At 40.3% G+C, this 22379-nt stretch overlaps 1 pseudogene; it reads right to left on the bottom strand.

Annotated features, from left to right (window-relative positions):
* Window positions 1–1818: 1818 nt before the first annotated feature.
* LOC101929923 (translation initiation factor IF-2-like) lies at window positions 1819–2908 on the bottom strand (annotated as a pseudogene).
* Between the last annotated feature and the right edge of the window lie 19471 nt (window positions 2909–22379).

Here is a 22379-nt window from a genome sequence, read left to right as displayed (position 1 = left end):
AAATAAAAAGGCTACCACCATACTCACAGATAAGTGTGTCAGGTATATTTGCAGCTATCTTTCCTATACTCTATTTGGTAAAAAAAAAATTGCAAAGAACTCTTCTCATTCTAGATTTTTGTATTAATTAGACATTTGAAGTTTACAGCAGAAGAGCTATAATCATGTTTGGTATGTGTACTCTATAGACCAGATAGTGCAAACAGATATCAATGCTTTTTAAAAGTATATAAGGTTATTGGAAATATTTTAAACTACCTATAGGTATATATGTATCTAATTCAACTATCAAATGCAAGTAAGATCATTTCCTTAGCGTGTGAAATGCACTCAATTTATTAAAATATTTTCTAATGTCTATTACAATAATATTTCTTAATTAGCTAACATAAGAAGAGTTTTAAGACATTTATTTATATGTACTTACTAGATTCAAACTCGATTCCACTATTTTCAGAAATCATGCTCTGAGACAAGTCCTTTTTTTAATCTGGCTATGTTTCTACCTATATTAAAAGACAGATATGTCAATTTTCCTAATCATGCTGTTCCAAACCTCTCCATCCTATTTTTCGTTTGTTCTACCAGTCATTCAGAGACTTACTTATATTCAAATTTCTCTCTAGGTTTAACATTTGTGTATGTCTTCTTGTGTTTTTGTCTATTTTTGCTGTGTATAATTTAAGACATTTATTGACATATATCATACATGCAGAAAAGTACAATGATTAAATATGGATAGCTTCATTAATGAAACACATGTATTTGCTTATAACCATGTATGAAAATAGAACATTACTAAAAATAGAGATACTTCTCCTGCCCCTTTCCAAACACTAACCCTCATCCTCAATAGTAACAGATTTTTTTTTATCATAGAGTAATTTGGTCTATTTTCAAATTTTTATTAAATAAATCAGAGTATCTACTCTATGTTTCTTTCATTTTGTTATTTTGCTTGTAGTATTTATCTGCTAATGGACATGGTAGATTAAAGACGGCTACATACACATTTTTTAATTAATAGATTTTTTGAGCACTTTGTGGCTCATGCCTCTAATCCCACCACTTTGGGAGGCTGAGGTGCGTGGATCATGAGGTCAGGAGATCGAGACCATCCTGGCCAACGCGGTAAAACCCCTTCTCTACTAAAATACAAAAAATTAGCTGATAGATAACATCAAGATAACATCTGGGTTCTTAGATGCACGGAGTCAAGCCTACTTACATCTTTGTTTGTCTTCCTCTTCACTTTTCCTTCCACATCACACTCCAGGAATGCCAAGCTGTGCTGGCCTTCTACCCCATTTCGACTATTTTGCCCCCGCCGATGCGGCTTTTTGCGGCTTTCTGCCCCCGGTCTCGCGGAATTTAGCCCCTGCCGCCGCGGCTTTTTGGGGCTCTTTGCCCTCGCCGCCGCAGCTTTTTGCGTCTTTCTCCCCCCGCCGCCGCGGCTTTTTGAGGCTTTTTACCCCCTGCTGCCGCAGCTTTTTGCCCCCACCACCGTGAATTTTTTCTCTGCGGCTTTTTGTCACCGCCGCTGCGGCTTTTTATGGCTTCTTGCCCTGCCGCCCCGGCTTTTTGCAGCTTTTTGCCGCCGCGGCTTTTGTCCCCCAGCACCGCGGCTTTTTACGCCTTTTCGCCCCCGCCGCCGCGGCTTTTTTACCCCGCTGCCGCAGGTTTTTCCTGCCGCCTCTTCTTGACCCCACTGCCCATGCTTTTGCGGCTTTTTGCCCCCGCCATCGCAGCTTTTTACACCCTCCGCCCCGGCTCCTTGCCCCCTACGTGGCTTCCTGCCCCCGCCGCCGCGGCTTTTTATCACCCCAGCCGCTTTTTGCCTCCGCCGCCATGCGTTTTTGCCCCTGCCGCCGAGGGTTTTTGCGGCTTCATGTCCCCGCCGTCGTGGCTTTTTGCCGCCCCTGCTTTTTGCCCCCTCTGCCGCGGCTTTTTGCGGCTTTTGGCACCAGACGCCGCGGCTTTTTGAGGCTTTTTGCCCCCGCCGCCGCGGCTTTTTGCCGCCGCCTCACCGTTTTGCCCCCGCCGCGCCTTTTTGCCCCCGCCGCCGCATCTTTTTGCAGCCGCGGCTTTTTGCTCCTGCCGTCGCGGCTTTCTGCCCCCGACGCTGCGGCTTTTTACGGCTTTTTACCCAGTCACCGCAGCTTTTTGCCCCCGCCGCCGCAGCTTTTTGCCCCTGCCACGCAGCTTATTGTCGCCGAGGCTGTTTGCCTCGGCCGCCGTGGCTTGATGCCCCCATCGTCCCGGCTTTTTCCCCCACCGCCCCGGCTTTTTGACCCCACGTTGCGGCTTTTTGCGGCTTTTTGCCCCCCGCCGCCGCGGCTTTTTGCCCCCATCACCGCGGCTTTTTCCCCGCCACCGCGGCTTTTTGCCGATGCGGCTTTTTACTCCCGCCGCCACAGGTTTTTACCAATGCGGCTTTTTCACACCGCCGTCGCGGGTTTTTGCCCCCACCGCCGCGGGTCTGAGGGCGGGATCGGCAGACTAGGCTGCCAGATCTACCGTCGTCCTGGCTAAGGCAGCGCCGAGGGTCACTCCTGGTCCAGCTCTCCTGGTTCGGGGGTTCCTTGCCTAGACACCCGCACCCCAGGCTCTGTTCCTGGGCCGCTGCAGCCTGCATAGAACGGCGCTGCGCTCGGCCCTGATGGGAGAGAAGAAGGAGGTCTGTGGAGGGGGTGACGCGGCTATCGCGGAGGGAAGCACAGGGGCCGCAGCCAGCCGGGTGCTGCAGCAGTGCGGGCAGCTCCAGAAGCTCATCGGCATCTCCGTTGGCAGCCTGCGCGGGCTGCGCACCAAGTGCGCTGTGTCCAAGGACGTCACCCAGCAGGAGATACGGACCGTGCAGGTAAGGGGGTCGGGGACCAGGGCTGGGCTCCAGCACCGGACTGGACATCTCCCAGGGGCCCCAGTTCACTCCTGGCCGAGTTGCATCCTTGAGCCCGCGTCACCCCCTTGGAGGCTTCTCCTCCCTCCTGCACTCGCTGATGCGGCAGCCGCAGGTCCCAGGACCAGCCCTCACCTTGGGCAGGATTTGTGGGCCGGGTGCGTGTTGGGAACTGTGATGGAGGCTCGAGGGGCCCGTGGGCAGGGTGGGCTGCGTGTGGACATCCCCTTACGTCCCGAATTTCCATCTGGTGCAGCCTTCTCATCTTGTAGGTGAGGAAACCGAAGGCCTGAGGGAGAAATGACTTGCCAGGAACCCCTGTTAAGGAAAATTAACAAAGTGTGGTTATCAAAGGAGAACTGAGTTCGGATTCAGACCTGGAGTCCCACACCCTTGGTTAAGACATTATACCACCTTGAGCCTGGCCTGTTGACTGAGGGTGAGCCACTCCATCCTCGTCTGATTGTGGGGTCTTGACCTCAAGGGGTTTCCTGCAGGAAGAAGCAAATGGGTTTGCTTTCCCAGCTCTGTCCAGTACCTTAGGGACCCTGAGAACTGGAGAGATTCTTGGAGAGCCATCTGGTGTATGTCATGGGTGGGCCTTGTTTGAAGGTCAGTCTGCCCAGTGGGCTGGCTCAGCCCAAATGAACTGTCTTGAATCTTTGGAGATGTCTGTGTACTTTTAAGGGTTTCTCATCCTTGCACCAAAAGATCCCCTGGAAATTAGGTGGGAAAACCTTAACTTTTGTGGAGCCTTGTATTTGTCTTAAAAGTTCATGCGCATAGCCAGGTGTGGTGGCTCACGCCTGTTATCCTATCCTGGATCCCTTGAGTCAAGGAGTTTGAGACCAACCTGGACAATATAATGAGACCCCATCTCTACAAAAAATAAAATATTATCCAGGGGTGGTTGTGCGCATCTGTAGTCCTAGCTACTACTGTGGCTGAGGCGGGAGGAGCACTTGAGCCTGCACTGAGCTGTGATCTCACTAGTGTATTCCAGCCTGGGCCACAGAGCAACACCTTGACTCAAAAAAGAAAAAAAAAAAACCAACAAGAAAAATTCTTGAAGATTTTGCATTCTGTCCCACTATCCATTGATTTTCATGTCAAGATAATGTCAGAAATTCTTTACAATTGCTTCCAGAAGGAGTAGCCTTTTGATCTAGTGCACAGGTGTCCAGTCTTTTGGCTTCTCAGGGCCACATTGGAAGAAGAATGCTCCTGGGCCACAGATAAAATACACTACTGCTAATTATAGCTGATGAGTTTAAAAAAAAAAAGTTTGTGCATAATTTTCATGATACCCACCACCACAGTTAGGTGGAAAAGTCCTTGTAGTCAAAGGGTTGGACACGGCTGATCTAGTGTCTTGTCGTCCGTTTTGGCTTTCTCCCTGACTCCAGAATGCAGGTAGAGATGTAGAGACATGCTCTCAGGACAGCTGTTGAGATGAAAAAAATTCGTTGTCATTTATTCCCAAGGACAGCTGTTTGCCATTTGCATTGAAAAAGTCTCCATTCAAACTGCTGTCACATATAAAATCTATTTATATGTCTGTATTTTTCTGTTGTCTTGGCCTTTGTGGGCAGTAGTGTGTTTTAACCGAGCAAACTGTCCTTCCAAATAATGAAGCCGAAGTCAGCCTACCTGCTTACCATTTTTCTTCCCCTTCCATTTTTCTAACCTCAGGATAATTGTAAGAATGAATTAAGATTTGTGTTTAAGGCTGGGCACAGTGTCTCAGGCCTGTCATCTCAGCACTTTGGGAGGCGGAGATGGATGTATCGTTTGATCTCAGGAGTTGAAGACCAGCCTGGGCAAAATACTGAGACTCCATCTTGTATAATTAAATTAAAAATTAAAAAAAGGAGAGAAAAGGACCTGTGTTTAAAGTTTTAAAAAAGGAGGGAAGGTGTTATGCAAAATGTGGACTATGCTAGCTATGATTGGGAAAAATAATTTTTCATACAGCATTATCTGTTGACATGTATTAGCAGCATACTGGTCATAAGCGTTTTGCTTTCCTCAAATATGATGAGGTAAGCTACTTTAAATTGTGGTGGGGCTTTCTTCCACATGGCTCCTGGAGGTGTTGAGTCCCAATTTAGCCAATTAATTTGGGTATAGTTTTGATATGGATGAGGGAGACCAGCTTCATTCATGATGCACACACAGTTTTGCCAGTAAGGGAAAAAAAAGCAACCTGAATGTTCCTACTCATTAGATGCTATCTGGAGAGCTCCTACCCCACTGCCACAAAGGCTCTGGCCCTTAAAAAGACTCAATGCAGCCTTTCTGCATCTCATAATGTATTCTGCAAGATGCTCCTGTGAAAGAAAGTGGTGCTGCATCAGCCATCTCCCTCCTGAAGATCCCTGCGGATGAGGATTTGTGTTTTAAAGGTTCTCAGAAGTCCTGCAACAACAGTTCTCAAACTTATTTGTCCAGGGGATCTTTTCTTCCACTGAACATAGTTGGGGAGACACGGCCTTAAGCCTTGAGCAGAGAAAGAGACAAGAAACTGTTGGCTCACTTACAACCAAGTGTTGTGTTTATGTTTTAGGTTTTTATGAAACTGAGGTGCTCTTTGAGGTTCTGAATCAAATTGGGTGGTTGAAGAGAGGCTGGTATCCCTGTAGACTTAGCCAGCAATGAGAGGTTGAGTTTTGTTGAAGGAGGTGTTTTACAAAGGGAAATAGGGTGTTTCCTGGGCATCACATTAGCACTTAAATACATGTATCACTGAAATGAAATGAAATGATGAAATGATGACATGAAATGAAATGATGGAACGGAATGATGAAATGATGAAATGAAATTAAATGATAAAATGATGATATGAAATGAAATGATGAGATGAAATGAAATGGTGAAATGATGAAATGAAATGCTGAAATGAAATGAAATGATGAAATGATGAAATGAAATGGTGCAATGAAATGAGGAAATGAAATGCTGAAATGAAATGATGAAGTGAAATGGTGAAATGAAATGAAATGATGAATTGATGTAATGAAGAAATGGTATGAAATGATGAAATGAAATGATGAAATAATGAAATGAGGGGTGGAGCCAAGATGGCCGAATAGGAACAGCTCCGGTCTACAGCTCCCAGCATGAGCGACGCAGAAGACTGGTGATTTCAGCATTTCCATCTGAGGTACCGGGTTCATCTCACTAAGGGAGTGCCAAACAGTGGGTGCAGGACAGTGGGTGCAGCCCACCTTGTGGGAGCCAAAGCACAGTGAGGCATTGCCTCACTCAGGAAGCACAAGGGGTCAGGAAGTTCCCTTTCCTAGTCAAAGAATGAGGTGACAGATGGCACCTGGAAAATCGGGTCACTCTCACCCTAATACTGCAGTTTTCCAACAGGCTTGGAAAACAGCACACCAGGAGATTGTGTCCTGCACCTGGCTCGGAGGGTCTTATGCCAATGGAGTCTTGCTGATTGCTAGCACGGCACTCTGAGATCAAGCTGCAAGGTGGCAGCAAGGCTGGGGGAGTGGGTCCCACCATTGCCCTGGCTTTCTTAGGTAAACAAAGCAGCCAGACAGCTGGAACTGGGTGGAACCCACAACAGCTCCAGGAGGCCTGCCTGCCTCTGTAGGCTCCACCTCTGGGGGCAGGGCATAGACACACAAAAAGTCAGCAGTAACCTCTGCAGAATTAAATGTCCCTGTCTGACAGCTTTGAAGAGAGTAGTGGTTCTCCCAGCATGCAACTGGAGATCTGAGACTGGGCAGACTGCCTCCTAAAGTGGGTCACTGAACCCCAAGCAGCCTAACTGGGAGGCACCCCCCTGTAGGGACAGACTGACACCTCACTCAGCCAGGTAGTCCTCAGAGACCAAACTTCCAGAGGAATGATCAGACAGCTGAATTTGTGATTCATGAAAATCCGCTGTTCTGCAGCCACCGCTGCTGATACCCAGGCAAACAGGGTCTGGCGTGGACCTCTACTAAACTCCAACAAACCTGCAGCTGAGGGTCCTGTCTGTTAGAATGAAAACTAACAAACAGAAAAGACACCCACACCAAAAACCCATCTGTACATCACCATCATCAAAGACCAAAAGTTGATAAAACCACAAAGATGGGGAGAAAACAGAGCAGAAAAACTGGAAACTCTAAAAAGCAGAGTGCCTCTCCTTCTTCAAAGGAATGCAGTTCCTCACCAGCAACGGAACAAAACTGGACAGAGAATAACTTTGACGATTTGAGAGAAGGCTTCAGATGATCAAATTACTGCGAGCTACAGGAGGAAATTCAAACCAATAGCAAAGAAGTTAAAAACTTTGAAAAACAATTAGACGAATGTATAACTGGAATAACCAATGCAGAGAAATGCTTAAAGGATCTGATGGAGCTGAAAGTCAAGTTTCAAGAACTACATGAAGAAGGCAGAAGCCTCAGGAGCTGATGCAATCAACTGGAAGAAAGGGAATCAGTGATGGAAGATGAAATGAATGAAACGAAGGGAGAAGGGAAGTTTAGAGAAAAAAGAATAAAAAGAAATGAACAAAGCCTCCAGGAATTATGGGACTCTGTGAAAAGACCAAACCTATGTCTGATTGGTGTACCTGAAAGTGACGGGGTGAATGGAACTAAGTTGGAAAACACTCTGCAAGATATTATCCAGGAGGACTTCCCCAATCTAGCAAGGCAGGCCAACATTCAGATTCAAGAAACACAGAGAACGCCACAAAGATACTCCTCAAGAAGAGAAACTCCAAGACACATAATTGTCAAATTCACCAAAGTTGAAATGAAGGAAAAAATGTTAAGGGCAGCCAGAGAGAAAGTTCGGGTTACCCACAAAGGGAAGCCCATCAGACTAACAGCTGATCTCTCGGCAGAAACTCTTCAAGCCAGAAGAGAGTGGGGGCCAATATTCAACATTCTTAAAGAAAAGAATTTTCAACCCAGAATTTCATATCCAGCCAAACTAAGCTTCATAAGTGAAGGAGAAATAAAATCCTTTACAGACAAGCAAATGCTGAGAGATTTGCTTGCCCTAAAAGAGCTCCTGAAGGAAGCACTAAACCTGGAAAGGAACAACTGGTACCAGCCACTGCAAAAACATGCCAAATTGTAAAGACCATTGAGACTAGGAAGAAACTGCATCAACTAACGAGCAAAATAACCAGCTAACATCATAATGACAGGATCAAATTCACACATAACAATATTAACTTTAAATGTAAATGGGCTAAATAATCCAATTAAAAGAAACAGACTGGCAAATTGGATAAGGAGACAAGACCCATCAGTGTGCTGTATTCAGGAAACCCATCTCATGTGCAGAGACACACATAGACTCAAAATAAAGAGATGGAGGGAGGTCTACCAAGCAAATGGAAAACAAAAAAAGGCAGGGGTTGCAATCCTAGTCTGTGATAAAATAGACTTTAAACCAACAAAGATCAAAAGAGACAAAGAAGGCCTTTACATAATGGTAAAGGGATCAATTCAACAAGAAGAGCTAACTATCCTAAATATATATGCACCCAATACAGGAGCACCCAGATTCATAAAGCAAGTCCTGAGTGACCTACAAAGAGACTTAGACTACCCCACAAACATAATGGGAGATTTTAACATGACACTGTCAACATTAGACAGATCAATGAGACAGAAAGTTAGCAAGGACACCCAGGAATTGAACTCAGCTCTGCACGAAGCGCACCTAATAGACATCTATGGAACTCTCCACCCCAAATCAACAGAATATACATTTTTTTCAGCACCACACCTCACCCATTCCAAACTTGATCACATAGGTGGAAGTAAAGCTCTCCTCAGCAAATGTAAAAGAACAGAAATTATAACAAACTGTCTCTGAGACCACAGTGCAATCAAACTAGAACTCAGGATTAAGAAACTCACTGAAAACCGCTCAACTACATGGAAAATGAACAACCTGCTCTGGAATGACTACTGGGTACATAATAAAATGAAGGCAGAAATAAAGATGTTCTTTGAAACCAACGAGAACAAAGACACAACATACCAGAATCTCTGGGACACACTCAAAGCAGTGTGTAGAGGGAAATTTATAGCACTAAATGCCCACAAGAGAGAGCAGGAAAGATCCAAAATTGACACCCTAACATCACAATTAAAAGAACTTTAAAAGCAAGAGCAAACACATTCAAAAGCTAGCAGAAGGCAAGAAATAACTAAAATCAGAGCAGAACTGAAGGAAATAGAGACACAAAAAAACCTTCAAAAAATTAATGAATACAGCAGCTGGTTTTTTGAAAAGATCAACAAAATTGATAGACCACTAGCAAGACTAATAAAGAAGAAAAGAGAGAAGAATCAAATAGACGCAACAAAAAATGATAAAGGGATTATCACCACCGATCCCACAGAAATACATTCTACCATCACAGAAAACTACAAACACCTCTATACAAATAAACTAGAAAATCTAGAAGAAATGGATAAATTTCTCAACACATACACTCTCCCAAGACTAAACGAGGAAGAAGTTGAATCTCTGAATAGACCAATAACAGGCTCTGAAATTGTGGCAGTAATCAATAGCTTACCAACCAAAAAGAGTCCAGGACCAGATGGATTCACAGCAGAATTCTACCAGAGGTACGAGGAGGAACTGGTACCATTCCTTCTGAAACTATTCCAATCAATAGAAAAAGAGGGATTCCTCTCTAACTAATTTTATGAGGCCAGCATCATCCTGATACCAAAGCCGGGCAGAGACACAACAAAAAAAGAGAATTTTAGACCAATATCCTTAATGAACATTGGTGCAAAAATCCTCAATAAAATACTGGCAAACTGAATCCAGCAACACATCAAAAAGCTTATCCACCATGAACAAGTGGGCTTCATCCCTGGGATGCAAGGCTGGTTCAACATATGCAAATCGATAAACGTAATCCACCATATAAACCTAACCAAGGACAAAAACCACATGATTATCTCAATAGATGAAGAAAAGGCCTTTGACAAAATTCAACAGCCCTTCATGCTAAAAATTCTCAATAAATTAGGTAATGATGGGACTTATCTCAAAATAATAAGAGCTGCCTATGACAAACCCACCGCCAATATCATACTGAATGGGCAAAAACTGGAAGCATTCCTTTTGAAAACTGGCACACGACAGGGATGTCCTCTCTCACCACTCCTATTCAACATAGTGTTGGAAGTTCTGGCCAGGGCAATCAGGCAGGAGAAGGAAACAATGGGTATTCAATTAGGAAAAGAGGAAGTCAAATTGTCCCCGTTTGCAGATGACATGGTTGTATATCTAGAAAACCCCATTGTCTCAGCCCAAAATCTCCTTAAGCTGATAAGCAACTTCAGCAAAGTCTCAGGATACAAAATCAATCTACAAAAATCACAAGCATTCTTGTACACCAATAACAGACAAACAGAGTGCCCAATCATGAGGGAACTCCCATTCACAATTGCTTCAAAGAGAATAAAATACCTAGGAACCCAACTTACAAGGGACATGAAAGACATCTTCAAGGAGAACTGCAAACCACTGCTCAATGAAATAAAAGAGGATACAAACAAATGGAAGAACATTCCATGCTCTTGGGTTGGAAGAATCAATATCTTGAAAATGGCCATACTGCCCAAGGTAATTTACAGATTCAATGCCATCCCCATCAAGCTACCAATGACTTTCTTCACAGAATTGGAAAAAACGACTTTAAAGTACATATGGAACCAAAAGAGCCCGCATTGCCAAGTCAATCCTAAGCCAAAAGAACAAAGCTGGAGGCATCACACTACCTGACTTCAAACTATACTACAAGGCTACAGTAACCAAAACAGCATGTTACAGGTACCAAAACACAGACATAGATCAATGGAACAGGACAGAGCCCTCAGAAATAATGCTGCATAGCTACAACTGTCTGATCTTTGACAAACCTGACAAAAACAAGCAATGGGGAAAGGATTCCGTATTTAATAAATGGTGCTGGGAAAACTGGCTACCCATATGTAGAAAGCTGAAACTGGATCTCTTCCTTACACCTTATACAAAAATTAATTCAAGTTGGATCAAAGACTTACATGTTAGACCTAAAATCATAAAAACCCTAGAAGAAAACCTAGGCAATACCATTCAGGACATGGGCCTGGGCAAGGACTTCATGTCTAAAACACCAAAAGCAATGGGAGCAAAAGCCAGAATTGACAAAGGGGATCTAATTAAACTAAAGAGCTTCTGCACAGCAAAAGAAGCTACCATCAGAGTGAACAGGCAACCTACAAAATGGGAGAAAATTTTTGCAACCTACTCATCTGACAAAGGGCTAATAACCAGAATCAACAATGAACTCAAACAAATTTACAAGTAAAACACAAACAACCCTATCAAAAAGTGGGTGAAAGACACGAACAGACACGTCTCAAAAGAAGACATTTATGCAGCCAAAAAACACATGAAAAAATGCTCATCATCACTGGTCATCAGAGAAATGCAAATCAAACCACAATGAGATACCATCTCACACCAGTTAGAATGGTGATCATTAAAAAGTCAGGAAACGGCAGGTGCTGGAGAGGATGTGGAGAAATAGGAACACTTTTACACTGTTGGTGGGATGGTAAACTAGTTCAACCATTGTGGAAGTCAGTGTGGCGATTCCTCAAGTATCTAGAACTAGAAATACCATGTGACCCAGCCATTCCATTACTGGGTATATACACAAAGGACTATAAATCATGCTGCAATAAAGACACATGCACACGTATGTTTATTGTGGCAGTTTTCACAATAGCAAAGACTTGGAACCATCCCAAATGTCCAACAACGATAGATTGGATTAAGAAAATGAGGCACTTATACACCATGGTGTACTATGCAGCCACAAAAAATGATGAGTTCGTGTCCTATGTAGGGACATGGATGAAACTGGAAATCATCATTCTCAGTAAGCTCTCACAAGGACAAAAAACCAAACACCACATGTTATCATTCATAGGTGGGTATTGAACAATGAGAACACATGGACACAGGAAGGGGAACATCACACTTCAGGGACTGTTGTGGGCTGGGGTGAGTGGGGAGGGATAGCATTAGGAGATATACCTAATGCTAAATGACGAGTTAATGGGTGCAGCACACCAACATGGCACATGAACACTTATGTTACAAACCTGCACATGGCGCACATGTATCCTGAAACTTAAGGTATAATAATAAAATAAAATAGAATAAAATAACAAAATATACACTAATACAGATTAACCAACTAAAAAAATTGTAGAGAAAGGTCATTTAAAAAATATGAAGGATAGAGTAATAATCTAACACGTTGAAATCTAAGAAAGAGAAAACAGCTTGTCTGAACAGCATTTTAAGTGGCAATGTTAGAGGTTTTATCAAAATTGACCAATAATATTAAACGACAGGTTCAGGAGGCTTTTCAAAGCAAAGGAAAACACACACAGAGGACGCATCTAGAAACATAATGGGACAATTTCTGAAAAGTAAAAGATAAATGTAAAGAGCACTTGATAAAAAAAATTGGGCTAACTAGAAAGAGAAAGAGTTGAATGATAACAACTTTCTCAAATGAAACAATGAAAGCCAACAAGTGAGGTATTGATATCTTTCAAGTCCTGAAATAAAATAAGTGCTGACCTAGAACTGTCTACTTGGTGGACATATCCATCAAAAGCAAAGATACAATAAAGAATTTCTCCCAAGCAGACCCACAGGAAAAGAAATACTAAAGATTATTCTTCAGGTAGAAGAACCATGATCCCTGATGAAAGTTTTCAGTTAGAAGAACATTTTTTTAATGAAAGAAATAAACATAGAGAGAAATTTAATTGGATATTGACTGTATAACAGAATGCTATCTCATAAAGTTTAAAATGTATCTTCCATACAACGGCAGAAGCATATAAGTTGTGAGTTGGATAAATTAATTTTAAAATATTGTCAAGTTTTTTTTTTGCAAATAGACAGATGTACCAATTATATTAGACCCTGAATTCAAGAATGCACGTTGTATTAAACCAGGTAAACCATAACCAGACCAGATTTTTTAAATGGACTCTCTTAAAGTTTTTATAATTTATATTCATATTTCACGTATGTTGAAAGTAAATAATGGAAAAGCATGCAATGCAAATATTAAGCAAAATATAGCTTTCTTTGTACTTATATTCACATTTTAAAAGTTGGACACAGTTAAGTCTCAGTGATTTTTTTACACAACGGAGGCAACCTGTGCAGTTATAACTAGTATTATATTATGCTCTTGGCCTGATTACAGAAGGGAAAGGGGAGATCATACCAGACAATGGCAGAATGAAGCAACAAGGAGTAGAGCTACAGAACATGATGCTGTAACTGGGACTGGAGTTACACTTTTAGAGTTAAAGAATAGTAAACTGGACAAAATATATGAAACATTTTTTTGAAGTACTGAACATCAGGCAGCACATGACTGTGCTCCACAAGAGAAGAGAAGGAGACAGAATGAGGCCTGCTTTATTCCCAGATTCTCCGTGACAGCAGTAGAGAGGAATCCCAGAGAGAGCAGACATTGTCATTGCACTGAGGAACCAGATAAAAATCAAAAAAGGTTAAGCAGCTGTAATGTGTAGTAGAAGAGAACGTTTACAGAAAAAGGAACCAAGAATCAGCCTAAGGATTCTCCCAAGTCCCTAAGCCAAATGTACATAGGATGAAATTCTAAGGAGCTCAGCAAAGGACTGTACCAGGGAGTTGGAAGAAGAACATTTCCCTGGCATCACATGACAGGAAGACACGTTAGCTCTGATGAGCCAGAGAAGGGAATCCCCTCTGTACCTCCAGGATATTCAGTAAAGACCACTGGAGGTTCATGCCCTAGTGACAATGCTCATTTCGCTCCAAATTACAGATGGCTCTAGACTAACTCAACAAAGTTTAAAGAGAAGATTTAAAACAACAACAGAAAAATACTCATCCTGCAAAGGACATGAACTCATCATTTTTTATGGCTGCATAGTATTCCATGGTGTATATGTGCCACATTTTCTTAATCCAGTCTATCATTGTTGGACATTTGGTTTGGTTCCAAGTCTTTGCTATTGTGAATAATGCTGCAATAAACATACGTGTGCATGTGTCTTTATAGCAACTCTCTGAGTTGAATGCACACATCACAAAGAATTTTCTGAGAATTCTTCTGTCTAGCTTTTATGTGAAGAAATATCGTTTTCAATATAGGCCTCAAAAGGAACCAAATATCAACTTGCAGATTATACAAAAAGAGCGTTTCAAAACTGCTGTATCAAAAGAAATTTTCAACTTTGCGAGTTGAGTGAACACATCACAAAGAAGCTTCGGCGAATGCTTCTGTCTAGTTTTTATGTGAAGATAGTTCGTTTTCCATCACAAGCCTTAAAGGGAAACAAATATTCACTTGCAGATTCTACAAAATGTGTGTTTCAAAACTCCTCTATCAAAAGATAGTTTCAAATTCATAAGTTGAATGCACACATAACAAGGAAGTTTCTGAGAAAGCTTCTGTCTAGTTTTTATGTGAACATATTTCCTTTTCTACCATTGGCCTCCCAGCGCTCCATATATCCACTTGCAGATTCTACACAAAGAGTGTTTCATAACTGCTCTATCAAAAGAAATTTTCAACTCTTTGAGTCGAATGCAAGCATCACAAGGAAGTTTCTGAGAATGCTTCTGTCTAGTTTTAATGTGAAGATATTTCCTTTTCCACCATAGGCCTCAAAGCGCTCCAAATATCCACTTGCAGATCCTACAAAAAGAGTGTTTCAAAACTTCTCTATCAAAAGAAAGGTTCAACTCTGTGAGTTGAATGCACAGATCATAAAAAAGTTTCGGATAATGCTTCTGTCTAGTTTTTATGTGAAGATAATTCCTTTTCCACCTTAGGCTTCAAAGTGCTCCAAGCATCCACTTGCAGATTCTACAAAAAGAGTGTTTCAAATCAGCTGTATCAAAAGAGAGGTGCAACTCCTTGAGTTGAAAGAACACATCAAAAAGAATTTTCTGAGAATGCTTCTGTCTTGTTTTTATGTGAAGATATTCTGTTTTCCAACAGAGGCCTCAGAGGGAACCAACTTTTCACTTGCAGATTCTAAAAAAAGAGTGTTTCAAAGTTGCTCTGTTAAAAGAAATATTCAACTCTGTCAGCAGAATACACACATTAAAAAGATGTTTCAGAGAATGCATCAGCCTAGTTTTTAAGTGAAGATATTTCCTTTTACACCACAGGCCTTAAAGCACTCCAATTATCCACTTGCAGATTCTACAAAGAGTGTTTCAAAACTGCTCTGTCAATAGAAATGTTCAACTCTCTGAGTTGAATGCACACATCACAAAACAGTTTCGGAGGACGCTTCTGTCTATTTTTATGTGAAGATGATTCCTTTTCCACCATAGGCCTCACAGTGCTCCATATATCCACATGCAGATCCTACAAAAAGAGTGTTTCAAAACTGCTCTAACAAAAGAAAGGTTCAACCCTGGAAGTTGAATGCACACAACACAAAGAAGATTCTGAGAATGCTGTCTAGCTTTTATGGGAAGATATTTCGTTTTCCAACATATGCCTCAAAAGGAACCAAATATCAACTTGCAGATTATACAAAAAGAGTGTCTGAAAACTGCTTTATCAAAAGAAACTTTCAGCTCTGTCAGTTGAGTGAACACATCACAAAGAAGCTTTGGCGAATGCTTCTCTCTAGTTTTTATGAGAAGATAGTTCTTTTTCCATCATAAGCCTTAAAGGGAAACAAATATCCACTTGCAGATTGTACAAAATGTTTGTTTCAAAACTGCACTATCCAAAGATAAGTTCAATTCTGTGAGTTGAATTAACACGTCACAAAGAAGTTTCTGAGAATACTTCTGTCTAGTTTTTATGCGAACATATTTCCTTATCCACCATAGGCCTTTAAGCCTTTCATATATCCACTTGCAGATTCTACAAAAAGATTGTTTCAAAACTGCTCTATCAAAAGAAAGGTTCAACTCTGTGAGTTGAATGCACACATCACAAGAAGTTTCTGAAAATGCTTCTGTCTAGTTTTTATGTGAAGATATATAAGTTTCCACCATAGGCCTCAAAGCGCTCCAAATATCCACTTGCAGATTCTACAAAACAGTGTTTCAAAACTGCTCTATCAAAAGAAAGGTTGAACTCTGTGAGTTGAATGCACGCATCCAAAGAAGTTTCTGAGAATGTTTTCGTTTAGCTTTTATGGGAAGATATTTCCTTTTCCACCATAGGCCTCAAAGCGCTCCAAGTATCCATTTGTAGATGCTACAAAAAGAGTGTTTCAAAACTGCTCTATCAAAAGAAAGGTTCAACGCTGTGAGTTTAATGCACACATCACAAAGAACTTTCTGGGAATGCTTCTGTCTTGTTATTATGTGAAGATATTTCGTTTTCCTACATAGGCCTCAAAGGGAATCAACTTTCCACATGCAGATTCTACAAAAAGAGTGTTTCAAAGCTGCTCTATCAAAAGAAATGTTCAACTCTGTGAGCTGAATGCACACATCACAAAGAAGTTTCGAAGAATGCTTCTGTCTATTTTTCATTTGAAGATATGTCCTTTTACGTCATAGGCCTTAAAGCACTCCAAATATCCATTTGAGAAAACTACAAAAGGGTTGTTTCAAGACTGCTCTATCAAAAGAAAGATTCAACTCTGTGATTTGAATGCACACATCACAAAGTAGTTTCAGAGAATGCTTATGTCTAGTTTTTATGTGAACATATTTCCTTCCCACAGTAGGCCTCAAAGCGCTCCAAATATCCACATGCAGATGCTACAAAAAGAGTGTTTCAAAACTGCTCTATCAAAAGTTAGGTTCAACTCTGTGGGTTGAATTCACACATCACAAATCAGATTCTGAGAATGTCTTTGCCTAGTTTTTATGATAAGATAGTTCGTTTCCCTACAGAGGCCTCAAAAGGCACCAAATATCAACTTGCAGATTATACAAAAAGAGTGTTTCAAATCTGCTCTGTCAAAAGAAAATTACAACTCTCTGAGTTGAATGCACACATCACAAAGAAGTTTGGAAGAATGCTTCTGTCTAGTTTTTATGTGAAGATAGTTCGTTTTCCATTATAGACCTCAAAGGGAACAAAATATCCACTTACATATTCTACAAAATGTGTTTTTCAAAACTGCTGTATCAAAAGATAAGTTCAACTCTGTGAGTTCAATGCACAGATCACAAAGAAGTTTCCGAGAATGCTTCTGTCTTGTTTTTATGTGAAGATATTTCCTTTTCCACAGTAGGTCTCTAAGCGCTACAAATATCCAATTGCAGATTCTACAAAAACAGTGTTTCAAACTGCACTATCAAAAGAAAGGTTCAACTCTGTGAGTTGAATGCACGCATCACAAAGAAGGTTCTGAGAATTCTTCTGTCTAGTTTTTATGTGAAGAAATTTCCGTTTCTACCATAGTCGTCAATGCACTCCAAATATCCACTTGCACATTCCACAAAAAGAGTGTTTCAAAACTGCTCTGTCAAACGAAAGGTTCAGCTCTCGAGTTGAATGCCCACATCACAAAAAACTTTCAGAAAATGCTTCTCTGTAGTTTTTATGTGAAGATTCTCTTTTTCCAGCACAGGCCTCTAAGGGAACAAAATATACACTTGCAGATTCTACAAAAAGAGTGTTTCAGAAATGCTCTATCAAAGGAAAGGTTCAATTCTGTGAGTTGAATGCACACGAAGAAGTTTCTGAGAATGTTTCAGTTTAGTTCTTATGGGAAGATATTTCCTCTTCCACCTTAGGCCTGAAAGCACTCCAAATATCCACTTGCAGATTCTACAAAAAGAGTTTTTCAAATCTGCTCTTTCAAAAGAAAGGTTCAACTCTGTGAGTTGAATGCAGGCATCACAAAGAATTTTCCGAGAATGCTTCTGTTTAGTTTTTTTTTTGTGAAGATAGTTCGTTTTCCATTATAGGCCTCAAAAGGAAACAAAATATCCACTTGTAGATTCTACAAAATGTGTGTTTCAAAACTGCTCTATCAAAAGATAGATTCAAATCTGTGAGTTGAATGCACACATCGCACAAAGTTTCTGAGAAAAGTTCTGTCTAGTTTTTAAGTGAAGATATTTCCTTTTCCACCGTAGGCCTCAAAGCGCTGCAAATATCCACTTGCATATTCTTATAAAAGAGTGTTTCCAAACTGATCTATCAAAAGAAAGTTTGAACACTTTGAGTTGAATGCAGACATCACATGGAAGTTTCTGAGAATGCTTCTGCATAGTTTTTATGTGAAGATATTTCCTTTTACAACATAGCCCTCTAAACTCTCCATATATTCACGTGGAGATTCTACTAAAAGAGTGAATCAAATCTCCTCTAACAAAATAAAGTTTCAACTCTTTAAGTTGAGTGCACACATTGCAAGGAAGTTTCTGAGAATACTTCTGTCTAGTTTTTATGTGAAGATATTTAATTTTCCACCATAGGCCTCAAAGCACTCTAAATATCCACATGCATATTCCTCAAAAATAGTGTTTCAAAACTTCTCTATCAAAATAAAGGTTCAACTCTGTGAGTTGAATGCACACATCACAAGGAAGTTTCTGAGAATGCTTCTGTCTCGTTTTTATTCGAAGATATTTCCTTTTCCACAACAGGCCACATAGCGCTCCAAATATCCACTTGCAGATTCTACAAAAAGAGTGTTTCAAAACTGCTCTATCAAAACAATGTTTAAACTCTGTGAGTTGAATGCACACATCACAAAGAACTTTCCGTGAATGCTTCTGTCTAGTTTTTATGTGAAGATAATCCCTTTTCCACTGAAGGCCTCATAGTGGTCCAAGTATCCTCATACAGATTCTACAAAAAGAGTGTTTCAAAACTGTTCTATCAAAAGAAAGGTTCAACTCTGTGAGTTGAATGCACACATCACAAAGAAGTTTCTGAGAATGCTTCTGTCTAGTTTTTATGTGAAGATAATCCCTTTTCCACTGAAGGCCTCATAGTGGTCCAAGTATCCTCATACAGATTCTACAAAAAGAGTGTTTCAAAACTGTTCTATCAAAAGAAAGGTTCAACTCTGTGAGTTGAATGCACACATCACAAAGAAGTTTCTGAGAATGCTTCTGTCTAGTTTTTATGTGAAGATATTTCCTTTTTCCACCATAGGCCTTTAAGCTTTCCATATATCCACTTGCAGATTCTACAAAAAGATTGTTTCAAAACTGCTCTATCAAAAGAAAGGTTCTACTCTGTGAGTTGAATGCACACATCACAAAGTAGTTTATGAGAATGCTTCTGTCTAGTTTTTATGTGAAGATATTTAATTTTCCACCATAGGCCTCTAAGCACTCTAAATATCCACTTGCATATTCTATAGAAAGAGTGATTCAAATGGCTCTATCAAAAGAAAGGTTCAACTCTGTGAGTTGAATGCACGCATCTCAAAGAAGTATCTGATAATATTTTAGTTTACTTTTCATGGGAAGATATTTCCTTTTCCACCATAGGCCTCAAAGTGCTCAAATATGCACTTGCAGATACTACAAAAAGAGTGTTTCAAAACTGCTATAACAAAGGAAAGGTTCAACTGTGTGAGCTTAATTCACACATCACAAAGAAGTTTCGGAGGATACTTTTGTCTAGTTTTCATATGAAGATTATGTCTTTTCCACCTTAGGCCTCAGAGCGCTCCAAGTATCCATTTGCAGATTCTACAAAAAGAGTGTTTCAAAACTGCTCTATGAAAAGAAAGGTCCAACACTGTGGGTTGAATGCACACATCACAAAGAAGTTTCGAAGAATGCTTCTGTCTAGTTTTCAAGTGAAGATATTTCCTTTTACATCATAGTCCTTAAAGCACAACAAATATCCTTTTGAAGACACTACAAAAAGAGTGTTTCAAAACTGCTGTTTCAAAAGAAAAATTCAACTCTATGAGTTGAATGCACACGTCACAAAGTAGTATCGGAGAATGCTTATGTCTAGTTTTAATGTGAAGATATTTCCTTTTCTTCCGTAGGCCTCAAAGGGCTCCAAATATCCACATGCAGATACTACAAAAAGAGTGTTTCAAACCTGCTCTATCAAAAGAAAGCTTCAACCCTGTGGGTTGAATGCACCCAACACGAAGTAGTTTCTCAGAATGCTTCTGTCTAGATTTTATGTTAAGGTATTTCGTTTTCCAACACAGCCTTCAAAAGGTACCAAATATGAACTTGCAGATTATACAAGAAGAGTGTTTCAAAACTGCTCTATCAACAGAAACTTTCAACTCTGTGAGTTGAATGCACAGATCACAAAAATGTTTCCGAGAATGTTTCTGTCTAGTTTTTATGTGAGGATATTTCCTTTTCCACCATAGGCCTCAAGGCGTTCCAAATATCCACTTGCAGATTCTACAAAAAGAGTGTTTCAAAACTGCTCTATCAAAAGAAGGTTCAACTCTGTGAGTTGAATGCACACATCACAAAGGAGTTTCTGAGAATGCTTCTGTCTGTTTATTATGTAAAGATATTTCGTTTTCCAACATATGCCTCAAAGGGAACCGCATATGCAACTACAGATCCTTCAGAAAGAGTATTTCAAATCTGCTCTATCAAAAAAAGTGTACATCTCTCTGAGTTGAATGCACACATCTCGAAGAAGTTTCTGAGACTGCTCCTGTTTAGTTTTTACGTGAAGATATTTCCTTTTCCACCACAGTCCTCAAAGCGGTCCACATATTCACTTGCAGATATTACCAAAATAGTGTTTGAAAACTGTTCTGTCAAAAGAAAGTTTCAACACTGTGAGTAGAATGCACAGGTCACTATGTAGTTTCAGAGAATGCTTCTTTCTAATTTTTACCTGAAGATATTTCTTTCTCCACCATAGGCCTCAAAGTGCTCCATATGTCCACTTGCAGATTTTAAAAAAAGGGAGTTTTCAAACTGCTCTATCAAAAGAAATGTTCAACACCGTGAGTTGATTTCACACATCACAAAGAAGTTTTGGGGAACGCTTCTGTCTACTTTTTATGTGAAGATATTTCCTTTTCACCATAGGCCTCAAAGCGCTCCAAATATCCAATTGCAGATTCTACAAAAAGAGTCCATCAGAACTGCTCTATCAATAGAAAGGTTCAGCTCAGTGAGTTAAATCCACGCATCACAAAGAAGTTTCAGAGAATGCTTCTGTCTACTTTTTATGTGAAGATATTTCCTTTTCCGCTATAGGCCTCCAAGCGCTCCATATATCCAATTGCAAATTCTACAAAAAATGTGTTTCAAAACTGCTCTACCAAAAGAATGCTTCAAATCTGTGAGTTGAATGCACACATCACAAAGAAGTTTCTGAGAATGCTTCTTTCTACTTTTTTTGCAAAGATATTTTGTTTTCCATCATTGGTCTCAAAGAGCTCTAATTATTCACTTGCAGATTCTGCAAAAAGAGTGTTTCAAAACTACTCTATCAAAAGAAAGCTTCAACTTTCTGAGTTGAAACCCCTCACCACAAAGAAGTTTCTGAGAATGTTTCTGTCTAGTTTTTATGTGAAGATATTTCGTTTTCCAACATAGACCTCAAAGGGAACAACATATCCACTGGCAGATTCTACAAAAAGAGTGTTTCAATACTGCTCTATCAAAAGAAGGGTACAACTGTGTGAGTTGAATGCACACTTCACAAAGAAGTTTCTGAGAATGCTCCTGTCCAGTTTTTACCTGAAGATACTTCCTTTTCCACCATAGGCCACAAATGGCCCCATATATCCACTTGCAGATATTATAATAGAGGGTGTCAAAACTGCTCTATCAAAAGAAAGTTTCAACCCTGTGAGTGGAAAGCACACATCACAAAGAAGTTTATGAGAATGCTTCTATCTAGTATTTATGTGAAGATATTTTGTTTTCCAACAGAGGCCTCAATGGGAACGAAATATCCACTTGCAGATTCTACAAAAAGAGTGTTTCAAAACTGCTCTATCAGAAGAAATGTTCAATTTTGTGAGCTGAATGCACAGATCACAAAGAAATTTCTGAGAATGCCTCTGTCTAGCTTTTATGTCAAGATATTTCCTTTTCCACCACAGGGCTGAAAGGGCTCCAAATATCCACTTGCAGATTTTACAAAAAGTGTGTTTCAAAACTGCTCTATCAAAAGAAAAGTTCAACTCTGTGAGTTGAATGCACACATAATAAAGAAGTTTCTGAGAATGCTTCTGTCCAGTTTTTATGTGAACATATTTTGTTTTCCAACATAGGCTTCAAAGGGAAGAAAATATCCACTTGCAGATTCTACAAAAAGAGTATTTCAAAACTACTCTATCAAAAGAAAAGTTCAACTCTGTGAATTGAATGCACACATCACAAAGAAGTTTCAGAGAATGCTTCTGTCTATTTTTTTATGTCAAGATATTTCCTTTTCCACCATAGGCCTCACAGTGAACAAAATAACCACTTGTAGATTCTACAAAAAGAGTGTTTCAATACTGCTCTATCAAAAAAA

This window comes from Homo sapiens, chromosome 16 (genome assembly GCF_000001405.40).
Source record: "Homo sapiens chromosome 16, GRCh38.p14 Primary Assembly".
NCBI classification, from domain to species: Eukaryota; Metazoa; Chordata; class Mammalia; order Primates; family Hominidae; genus Homo; species Homo sapiens.
This window is presented reverse-complemented; position numbering and strand designations above follow the sequence as displayed.